The sequence below is a fragment of the Homo sapiens genome, chromosome 10, assembly GCF_000001405.40.
Source record: "Homo sapiens chromosome 10, GRCh38.p14 Primary Assembly".
Lineage (NCBI taxonomy): Eukaryota > Metazoa > Chordata > Mammalia > Primates > Hominidae > Homo > Homo sapiens.
Genome location: NC_000010.11, coordinates 73,258,456 through 73,270,473, shown reverse-complemented (window position 1 = coordinate 73,270,473; position 12,018 = coordinate 73,258,456). Strand labels below are relative to the sequence as shown.

General features: G+C 37.9%; 1 protein-coding gene and 1 long non-coding RNA gene across 21 annotated transcripts in view; one reads left to right on the top strand and one right to left on the bottom strand.

Annotated features, from left to right (window-relative positions):
* DNAJC9-AS1 (DNAJC9 and MRPS16 antisense RNA 1) overlaps positions 1-12,018 on the bottom strand; it is a 29,618-nt gene that overhangs the window by 6,511 nt on the left and 11,089 nt on the right. The gene's annotated exons all lie outside the window — the stretch shown is intronic.
* The window catches only part of CFAP70 (cilia and flagella associated protein 70), a 109,218-nt gene that overhangs the window by 92,506 nt on the left and 4,694 nt on the right, over positions 1-12,018 (top strand). For 18 of the 19 annotated variants that reach the window (XM_047424551.1, XM_017015627.2, XM_017015621.2 and 15 more), the window contains one exon: positions 759-860. The exons of the other annotated variant lie outside the window; for it this stretch is intronic. In XM_047424551.1, the coding sequence (XP_047280507.1) occupies positions 759-860 (102 nt within the window). The remainder of the gene's footprint in view (positions 1-758; positions 861-12,018) is intronic. 19 annotated transcript variants of the gene reach the window in all.

The following is a 12,018-nucleotide window of genomic DNA, read 5'->3' as shown; positions in this document are numbered from 1 at the left end:
GAGAAAAGAAAAGGGTGGCTGGGGAGGGGAGGGGAGAGGAGAGAGGAGAGGAGAGGAAAGAAAAGAGAAAAGAAAAGAAAAAAGAAAGGAAAAAAAGAGCTACTTTACTGGGGAAGGGAGAGCCTTTTGGAATGTTTTACAAAGCAACAAAGCAAACTCACAGTTTTAGGAAGCAGCAACAATTTCCACGTGCCCAGAGCCCAGAGTGCACCCTAGAGTTTCTGAATACTGCATTGATTGCTCGGGATTGGGCTGTTAATAACTGATACTAGGGGAAAGAAAGCTTTCTGGACAATAGTATTTCAACAGGCAAATCAGATTTTTACCTCAAGAAAAGGATGCACAATGTAAAGAAAAAAAACTATAAATGTATCTGACAGCCCACTGTGTGTGGAGAAATCACTGAATGATGCACACATGAGAGTGAGTTCCTGTGGATTTCCAACCTTGCACCTGAAACTCCATGGTTTATAGATGTCCTGATGGGACCGCTGTAGAGGGAAGGAAGAAAGGGGTATAAGTTAAGAGCTTACTAGGCAGGGCTTCAGAATCCCCGACCTGGCTTTTTAATCAGAGCTCTTCTACTTTTAATTGGTTCATATATTGAACCACCACATAAGATTTCCTTTGAAGAAAAGAGTTCTGATGCTAAAAATATTAAAAAGTTGAAAACCATTGGTATAGGTCATATACACCAGTATTATTGGGACATAGTGGTTTCAGCTAAGCTAACTCACATGTCTCATTTTTCTGTCAAGCTGGAGGAGCTCACAGAGGCTGAGGATGCTCTTTCTGAAGCCAATGCATTGAACAACTACAATGCTGAAGTATGGGCATATCTGGCTCTGGTCTGCCTGAAAGTGAGTGTTTATTATCCTTACACAATGCCCTTTTAGGGCACAGAGGTGAGGGGTCAAGTAAGCAAGGGGCAGCAGATGGCCATTAATGCATGGTAGCTGAAATCTGATAAGCTCTAGGTGTAATCATTATGCTGATGACAAAGGAAGGGCCAAGTCTGGGCAGGCTGTACTTGGAACATGCTTAAAAATAATATATTTAGGTGTGTTTCTCTGGAAAGGAAGTTCTAAAAATAGGAGCAATATTGTATCACAACATAAACTAGGTCACAGATTGATGAAGGAGATGTTCTACTAGTGTTTCTGAATCATTTCTTCCCATTGAAATGCTGGCTGAGGGTGCTTGTCCTTGATTTAGATGGGATATTGGGTGGAGGGTAATGTGGGAGTTCATGATAGGTGCTTTACCTATTAAAAATAACTCTCCCATAGTTAGACTTAAATAACTTGCGTATCAGTCTAAGATCACATTGGGAATAACGACAGTAGCCCTCAGTTTTCCACTGGACAGTATGACACCAAATTGGCAGGGAGTATTATTATAAGAGAAATGAACCAAACAAAAATTACTAGATTTTCTCTTTAGTGTAAATATCCCAAATATCAACATTTTAAAAATACCTGAGGTCTGGCTGGGTGTAGTGGCTCACGTTTGTAACCCCAGCAATTTGGGAGGCTGAGGCAGGTGGATCACTTGAGCCCAGGAGTTCAAGACCAGCCTGGGGAACATGGCAAAACCCTGCCTCTACAAAAAATTAGCCAGGAATGGTGGGGAGCGCCTGTGGTCCCAGCTACTTTCGAGGGTTGGGGTGGGAGGATCACTTGAACCTGGGAGGCAGAAGTTGCAGGGTGCTGAGATTGTGCCACTGCACTCCAACCTGGGTGACAGAGTGAGACCTCGTCTCAAAAAAAAAGAAAAAAAAGAAGAAAAACAAATAAAAAGAGTTCTTACCCCAGCTCTCCCCTAACTAGCTCTAGGATCTGAGGCAAGTCACCTAACTTTATTGGGCCTCAATTTCCTCATCTTTAAACTAAAAGGGCCAGTATGGAAGACCATAATATACTTCTCTTAGAAATTGATAAGTCAAATAGGAAAAAAAATAGGATATATATACAGATGTATAACCCATTCAACAGGTTTGAGTTCAAACACCAATGTAGAACTCTTCACTTAACAATGAGAGGACACATATTCTTTTCAAGTACAAATGAGTTATGTATAAAGGTTGACCACATGCAAAACCAGAAAGAGGGGTTCAACAAATACATACAGATCACATGGCAGTAAAATTATAAATCAACAACCAAAATAAAGCCCAAAAGACTCATATACCTTTGGAAACTGAAAACATGCTTGTAATTAATTAATAAGTCAATGAAGAAACCTTGTGACACTTCAAATATGAAATCTTTTGTGCTAGGTAGAATTCTAAAGATGGCCCCCTCCCCTAAGATTAATCTATTAAACACTAATGTAGGTACTGCTGTAAAATGATTTTGCAGATGTAAATAAAATACCAAATCAGTTGACATTAAAATACAGAGATTATCTGGGTGGACCTGACCCAGTCAGGTAAGTCTTCTAAAAGCAGAGAGTTTTCTCTGGTGGTGGGGGCAGAAAGGATGTCAGATTTGAAACATAAGAATCATTCAGTATAGCATCTCTGGCTTGAATATGGAGAAGGACCACATGTCAAGGAATGTGGGTGGCATCTAGAAGCTAACAGCAGCCCCTGCTGAGAGCCAGCAAGGAAACAGGGACCTTATAGGAACCTATAAACACAAAGAACTGAATTCTACCAACAAACTGAATAAGCTTGGGAGTACATTCTTCTCCAGAGCCTGCAAATAAGAACTCAGCATAGATGACACCTTGATTTTGGCCTTGTGAGACCCTAAGCAAAGAACTAGTTGAATAATGTCAGGCTTCTGATCTATGGAAAATGTGATATGATAAATGGGTGTTATACACAGCAGTAGAAAATTAGGCCTTATAGTAGATTTTTATAATAATGATCCCCATTTAATTATGCTGTCATGTCCACATCCTTTGCAATGTTATGTTGCCACTCACTCCCATCAAGAGACGGAGTCTCTTTCTCATTTCTCCACCCCCTTGAATCTAAGCTAAACTTGTGACTTTCCCTGACCAGTAGAATATGGTGCAAGTGACATTGTGTGAATTCTCAGAGGTTAGGCTTTTAGAAGCCTTCAGCTACCACTCTTGAAACTCTGGGACCACTGTGCTGTGAAGAAGCCCAGTTTAGCCTATAGAAGGCTATAGTAGTCCACATGGAAGAGAACTGAACCACTCCAGCCAACAGCCAACATTAACTGCTATTTGAGTAAGGTTTTCTTGGATCCTTCAGTCCTAGCCAAATTGTCATATGACCTCAGCTGCATGAGTGATCTCAGGGAAAACCAGCAAAACAGCCCAAATTACCTGTAGAATTTTGAGAAATAACATATTATGTTTTAAGCCATTAAGTTTTGGGTTGGTTTGTTATACTTCAGTACATAACTGAAATGAGGCTGAATAAAAACAAAGCCAATATATATTAGAATTATGGGATAAAATTAAAGCAATAAATAGAGGGTAATTTATAGCCTTAAATACATATGTTAGAAACAAAGATTGAAAATCAATGAATTAATTTTTAAATAAATAAAGTAGTAAAGGGAAAGCAAGGAAACTCAAAGAAATGATAATTGAGAAAATGATAAGGAGTAGAAATAAATGAAAATTTCAACAAGGACATAATAGGATTAACAAAATTATGAGCTGTTTTTTGCAGAGACTAGTGAACAGACAAACCTCTTGCATGACTAAGAATTTTGTTTAAAATGGAAAGACACAAATAATATTAGCAGCAAAATGGAGACTAAATTAAAATCATAGGCTATTCTTATTCTATTAATTATTTTAAAAACTAAATCATTGGCTAAAATTAACACCCATTCATGACTTTTTAAAAAAGCAAACTAGCTTTTTTAAAATCTGAAACTACATGTCCCAAAATCTAAACTATTATATGAAATGGTGAAAAGTTAGAAGCATTCCTTTTGAAGTCAGGAACAAGATAAGGAAAATGTTATCGTCACTTCTACTTGAAACTATACTGGAGGTTCCATTAAGGCAATAACACATATACATACACACATAAAAGAAACTGAAGGTAAAAGGATTAGGTAGGAACCCAAGAAAATCTACAAGCAAACTGAAATATGTAATAAAAGAGTTCACTACTGAAATGGTAGATAAAAAACTAACAATGATGGTTACTAGTCAGGGCAGTCATTGGGGAACAGGGTGTATAGGGAGACGGGTGGAAGCAAAACTCATTGTATGCTTTATTATATCCTTTTGACTTTTGAATAATATAAATTTAGTCAATGAAGATTAACGCAAAGAAGTGGATGGACAAAGTTGCTGGATAAAAATCAATATAAAAATCAATGTCATCAAAATCAGGAACAATCAATTTGAAAGTCTGATTTTTAAAATCCCATTCAAGACCTGTGTGGGGAAAATCATAAAACTTTATTGTAAAAGAAAATCTAATAGAAAGATATACCATGTCCATGGGCAGGAAGTTCTGATGACATAAAGATGAAAGTTTTCCCTAAGTTAATATCTAAGTTTAAGGCAATTCCAATAAAAATAATAACATAATATTTTCAAGGAACTTGATGAGATAAATCCTAAAATTCACTTGGTTGAATAAAGACCAAAAAAAAAAAAATAGCTATGACAGTATGAAAGAAAGAGTAAGAGTGGCTTTCCTATTAAATATCAAGCCTTATTATGAAGCTGCAACAATTAACACTGAGTGCTATTAGTGTAAGAGTAGGTAAGTGAAACAATTGGCAGACAGAAATAGACTGACATATATATGGAAACTTAGGTTTTGAGTAGATGGTATTTAAAAGTAATTGGAGTTTTCTAGAAATTTACCATGATGCGCTTCCTCTAGCAATTTGAAAATGAGCGTGCGCAAGTTATTAATTACAGCATTATTGCAATTGCAAAATAATGGAAACAACCTAAATGGAGTTCATTTATTAAACATGGGAGAATGTCTAAATAAACTATAGTATATTCACATAATGGAATACTATGCCCCTGAATAAAAATAATGAGGAAGATCTCTATGAACTGATGTGGAATGATTTTCAGTTTATATTATTAAGTAAAAAAAGTGAAGTGCAAGATTATACCACCTTTTGTATAAGAGAGAAGGAAAAAGAAGAAAATATACATGAATCTCTTCTTCTTCTTCTTTTTTTTTTTTTTTTGAGATGGAGTCTCTCTGTTGCCCAGACTGGAGTGCAGTGGCGCGATCTGGGCTCACTGCAAGCTCCGCCTCCCAGGTTCACCATTCTCCTGCCTCAGCCTCCCCAGTAGCTGGAACTACAGGCGCCGGCCACCACGCCCGGCTAATTTTTTGTATTTTTAGTAGAGACACGGTTTCACCGTGTTAGCCAGGATGGTCTCGATCTCCTGACCTCGTGATCCGCCCATCTCGGCCTCCCAAAGTGCTGGGATTACAGGCGTGAGCCACCGCACCCGGCCGAATCTCTTCTTTAGTGCAAAAAGAAGCAGAGGAAGGATAAACCGAGATTAATGAGAGTAGATTCTACAGGACATGAGTGGGCATGGGTAGAGGAGGGAGGAAATGAGAGGGATGACACTGTGATGTCCCTTTTTGTAGAGTTCTGACTTTTGGGACAATGCTAATGTTTCGTATATTTTTTAAAAAAGAAAATCAGCAAGAAATGGGGAGACCACATAATTACGTACAAACAAAACCAAATAAAATTGTATTTCAAATGAATAACGTAATTAGACTGACAATGCAGAAAAATAATTAACTCATGGTACTTTTGAAAACATTCTTTGCAATGTAGACTAATACATACTATATATCAGGCTAAAGAGAAAAAACCTTTATACACATTTTAGAGTATAGTTTTAGGCTTCATTTTTGCAAAGTCATGAGTTAGCAGTTCTGAAATTACTAGGTATTCTATGATTTAACAAATAATTATGTTGTGGATAATGGGAGTCACATTTTTCACTGTGCTTCAAAGGAAGTTACAAATGTGGAAACAAGAAGGATAGAATGACCTTGTAGTGGTGGATTAGAATGGGAGATACTGATAAGAGCTCATTGTTTGATAGATTAAATAGATACAGGTATAAATAGGTATATAGAAATATATGTGTATTTATAGAAATATATTCATATGTGTCTAAATACCTGTGTCTCAAAAATAAATAGTGGTGGCAGGGGGCATAAGCACATCTAATGCTCAGGTCTTGGTTTCTAAATCCATTTAAGAAACTAGGGCATTTGTCCAGTTTAGAAGGAAAGGGTTTGTGGGGGGACCAGAGGCTTCTTGGAAGATGGCCAAAATTCCAGAACTAGTGCATGGAAAGTAAAAGATGAGTCTGAGATCTTGTTGAGTCAGAAAGTAAAAAATGTTCAAAGAAAGACTGGCACATATCAAAACAGCATAGGGAAAAAATAAAACAAACAGAAACTAGCTTGAAGTGGGGACACCTGCTGGCTAAAACAAGGATAATTTGAGCATCCAAATAAATAATTTGTAGAAAAGGATTACAAATAAGAATCTATGAGCCCACAGTGATATAATTAAACAAATAAGTGGTAGAGAAAGGAAAGCTTACAGTCAAAGGCCAACTGCTAAATGTATGAAGAATGATGGAATTGGAAAATCGCAATTTGGAAACCATCATAATAGATTCAGTGGACAATCATCAATGTATGCTAAAATTATGGTTGAAAAGTTCAAGGAGTAAGAAAATATTTCATAGTCTCAAAGTATCTCCCCACAAGATACTTATTAATTACAAAGGGGAAAATAGTAACATTAGAGTAGAAAAACCTGGCAGATAGCAATGTAATAAATGATCAAAGTTAACATCACAAGTATTGAGATAAGCAGCTTGTGCTTCCTGATATGGTGCACTGAGAACAGAACATTTTTATGGTATTCCTGTTAAAAGTTCATAACCTGATATGATTATGAGGGAACATTAGACAAATATGAATTGGGGAATAGTTTACAAAATAGTGCTCTATTTTTAAAAAATGCCAGTGTTACGAAACACAAAGACTCAAGAACTATTCCAGATTAAAAGAAACTGGAGACATAAATAATAAATACAATGCATGATCTTGGATTTATTTTCTCATAAAGACATTATTGGGCTGGGCGTGGTGGCTCATGCCTGTAATCCCGGCACTTTGGGAGGCCAATTGAGCCCTGGAATTTAAGAACAGCCTGGGCGACATAGTGAGACTTTATCTCTACAAAACATTAAAAAAATTAGCTGGGCATGATGGCACTTGTAGTCCCAGCTACTTGGGAGGCTGAGGTGGGAGGATTGCTTGAGCCCAGGAGGTCGAGGCAGCAGTGACCTGTTCACACCACTACACTCCAGTCTGGGTGATACAGCAAGATCCTGTCTCAAATAAATGAATGAGTGAATGAAGAAATGAATGAATGATATTATTGGAACAATTGGAAAAATCTTGATAAGGTCTATAGATTAGATAATAGTATTCTATCTATACTAACTTCCTGATTGTGATAATTGTACTGTGGTTATAGAGGAGAATATCCTTGATTTTAGAAAACACACTCTGAAGTATTAAAATTGAATCATATCTCTAATTTACTTGCAAATGTTCAGGAAGAGTTAGGTGTGTGTTTATGTAGATAAACACACACATATATACTTTAACTTTTCTACATATTTTTAACTTTTCTATATTTTTCTAACTTTTATACACACACACATACAGTAATCCCTCCTTGTTCCCCAGGGATATGTTCCAAGACCCCCCAGTGGATACCTGTAACAAAGGATAGTACTGAATCCTATATATACCATGCACGAATTTCTTTTTTAAAATAATTATTAAAAATTTTTTTCTAATAGCCCACAGGTGCTACTAAATATGCACAATTTCTTTTTCCTTCTTCACATTTTCATGGATAAAAGATAAGTTCATTATACAGATCTTAGCAACCTCAGCATACATTTTTTTTCTTTCCTGATTAAGTCAAGAGCTTTCACCTTTTCATGAAAAGGAAGCACTTTATGGCTTCTCTTTTGCATATCCAAATTGCCAGCATCACTACTTTTGTGCTATGAGTCCATTATTAAGTAAAATAAGGGTGGCTTGAATACAAGCACTGTGAGACCATGACAGCTGATCTGATAACGGAGAGGGCTATGAAGTGACTAACTGGCAGGTAGCGTCTACAGTGGGTATATGCTGGACAAAGGGATGACTCACATCCTGGGAGGGATGGCACAAGATTTCATCAGGCTCTTCATAATAGCAGTGTGCAATTTAAAACTTATGAATTGTTTATTTCTGGAATTTTCTATGTAATATTTTCAGATCTTGGTGGGCCGAGGTTGATCTTGGGTAAGTGAAGGTGTGGAAAGCAAAACCTCAGATAAGGGAGACTACTGTATATGTATTATATATATACATATATAATATATACATATATACATATATAATATATAATATATACATATATACATATATAATATATACATATATACATATGTATACATATATACATATGTATACATATATATAATATGTATACAGTACATGTATTCTTTCCTGAGAGAAGAGAGAACTGATTTTGTAACTTTTATTTAATCTGAAATTATGTCCAAAAAATTTTAAAATACCCCTTAAAATAATGCAGATTGACACCGCACTACACACCCACTAGAATAGCTTAAATCAAAAAGATAGGCCAGGCATGGTGGCTCATGCCTGTAATCTCAGCACTTTGGGAGGCTCGAGCAGGCAAATCGCTTGAGCCTGGGAGTTTGAGACCAGCTCGGACAGCATGGTGAAACCCCATCTGATATATTTTGGCTGTGTCCCTACCCAAATCTCATCTCGAATTGTAACTCCCACAATTCCCACTTGTTGTGGAAGGAACCAGGTGGGAGCTGATTGAATTATGGGGGTGGCTCTTTTCTGCACTGTTCTCCTGGTAGTGAATGAGTCTCACAAGATCTGATGGTTTTAAAAATGGGAGTTTCCCTACACAAGCTTCTTTTTGCCTGCTACCATCCACGTAAGACGTGACTTACTCCTCTTTGCCTTCCACCATGATTGTGAGGCCTCGCGAGCCACTTGGAATTGTGAGTCCAATTAAACCTCTTTCCTTTGTAAATTGCCCAGTCTCTGGTATGTCTTTATCAGCAGCATGAAAACTGACTAATACAGTAAATAAAAAATACAAAAAAATACAAAGATTAGCCAGGGGTGGTGGCATGTGCCTGTAGTCCCATGTACTTGGGAGGCTGAGATGAGAGAATCACCTTTTCCTGGAAGGTTGAGGCTGCAGTGAGCCCCTGTGATGGCACCACTGCACTCCAGCCTGGGTGACAGAATGAGATCTTGTCTCAAAAAAAAAAAAAAAAGATAGACAATGCCAAGTATTAACAAAGATGTGGATAAACTGGAATCCTCGTACATTACTGGTAGGGTTGTAAATTGGTACAACCACTTTGGAAAACAGTTTGTCAGATTCTTAAAAAGTTACACATATTTACCATATGTGCCAGCAATTCTACTTCTCTATATCTAGCTAAGAGAAATGAAGACATATGTCCACACAAAAATTTGTATATGAACTTTTATCACAGCATTTAATAATAGCACAAAACTGGGAACATTTTACATGTCCATCAGTGAATGGGTAAATAAAATGAGGAATATTTATACAATGGAGTACTACTCAGCAGTTAAAATGAAATTCTGATTCATGTAACAATATGGATAAATGTCAAAAATATTATGGCAAGTGAAAAAAGCAAAGCACAGAAGACTATATATTATTTGATTCTATTTATTTGAAATAAGGAAAATAGATCAATGGTTGCCTGGAGCTAAAGGTGAGGATGGAGAGTAACTGCAAACAGGCATGAAAGAACTTTTTGGAGTAACAGGAGTCTTCTAACACTGGATTGTGCTGATGCTTGCACAACATAACGTTAAAATTAGTGAATTTTATGGTATGTAAGTTATGCCTTAATATAGCTATTTTTTTATAAAGACACTATATAGCACCTGCAAAATGAGAAACAAATGGATTCTTCACTAAATGGTGATGGGACAACTGGCTACTATCCATATTAAAAAAAAAATTAGTTCCTTACCTCACACATCACACACAATTCCAACTGGTTTAAAGACCTAAGTTTTTTTCTTAAGAGACAGGGTCTTGCTCTGTTGCTGAGGTTGGAGTGCAGTGCAGTGGGACGATCCTGGGCTCAAGGGATCCTCCTGTTTCAGCCTCCTGAGTAGCTGGGACTACAGGCATGCACCACCACTCCTGGATAATTTATTTTATTATGTGTAGAGCAGAGTCTCACTATGTTGCCCAGGCTAGTCTTGAACTCCTGGCCTCAAGTAATCCTCATGCCTCAGCTTTCCAAAGAGCTGCAATTATAGGCATGAGCCTCTGTGCCCAGCCCTAACAATCTAAGATCTAAGTCCTTTTTTTTTCTTTTTTTTTTGAGACAGGGTCTTGCTCTGGTACCCAGGCTGGAATGCAGTGGCAGGAACACAGCTTACTTGCTGCCTCGACCTTCTAGGCTCAAATGATCCTACTGCCTCAGCCCCCCAAGTAGCTGGGACAACAGATGTGTGCCACCATGCCTAATTTTTTCATTTTTTGTAGAGACAGAGTCTCACCATGTTGCCCAGGCTGGTCTTAAACACATGGGCTCGAGCGATCTTTCCCCCTCAGCCTTGCAAAGTGCGGGGATTACAGGCATGAACTGCTGCACCCAGCCCTGTGCCCATTTTAAAATCAGATTGTAGAGTTTTTTCCTTATTGTAGCAGCTACTTATATAACCTGGATGCTAATCCTCTATTAGTTATAAATTCTGCCAATATTTATAATAAGTCCTTAAACTTTATTTTAGTGTCATTTGTTATACATGAGTTTCCAACTTTAAAGTTGTGGGAAAAATCACTGGAGCCTGGAAGGTTGAGGCTGCAGTGAGCTGTGATTGTGCCACTGCACTCCAGCCTGAATGACAGAGCCAGACCCTGTCTCAAAAAAGAAAAAACAAAGGAGGGGGAGGGGCATGGGGAACAATATAGGAATATGCAGTTTGCTAATGTGGAGATTGTAAAAGTTAATACATGTATGAGAAGAAGCTCTGTGTCACTAGTAAGCATAAGAATGCAACTTAGAATAATGATGTGGCAGAAATTCACAACCATCAGATTGGCAAAAATTAAAGTATGGTATTAGCACTTATTGGGGTAACCAGCCCCCAATATTTCAATGTAGGTTTTTTTCTATTTTCCCTAAGTGTCAGCAGGTCTGAGAAATAAAGGGAAAGAGTACAAAAAGGAGAAATTTTAAATCTGGGTGTCCAGGGGAGACATCACACATCGGCAGGTTCCGTGATGCCCCAAGCCACAAAACCAGCAAGTTTTTATTATGGATTTCAAAAGGGGAGGGGTGTACGAATAGGGTGTGGGTCACAGAGATCACATGCTTCAAGGGCAATAAAATATCACAAGGCAAATGGGGGCAGAGCGAGATCACAGGACGAGGGCGAAATTAGAATTGCTGATGAAGTTTCATGTCCCACTGGGCACGCATTATCAATGATGACATCTTATCAGGAGACAGGGTTTGAGAGCAGACAACTGGTCTGACTAAAATTTACTAGGCAAGAATTTCCTAATCCTAATAAGCCTGGGGGCGCTACAGGAAACCGGGGCTTTTTTCATCCCTTATATACAACCATATAAGAGAGAGACACTCCCAGAGCGGCCATTTTAGAGACCTACCCCTGGGAATGCATTCTCTTTCTCAGGGCTGTTCCTTGCTGAGAAAAAGAATTCAGCGATATTTCTCCTATTCGCTTTTGTAAGAAGAGAAATGTGACTCTGTTCTGTCCGGCCCTGCAGGCAGTCAGGCCCAATAGTTATTTCCCTTGTTCCCTGAAAATCACAGCCATCCTGTTCCTTTTGGATGCCCAGATTTCATATTGTTCAAACACACGTGCTCTACAAACAATTTGTGCAGATAACGTAATCATCACAGGATCCTGAGGCAACATACATC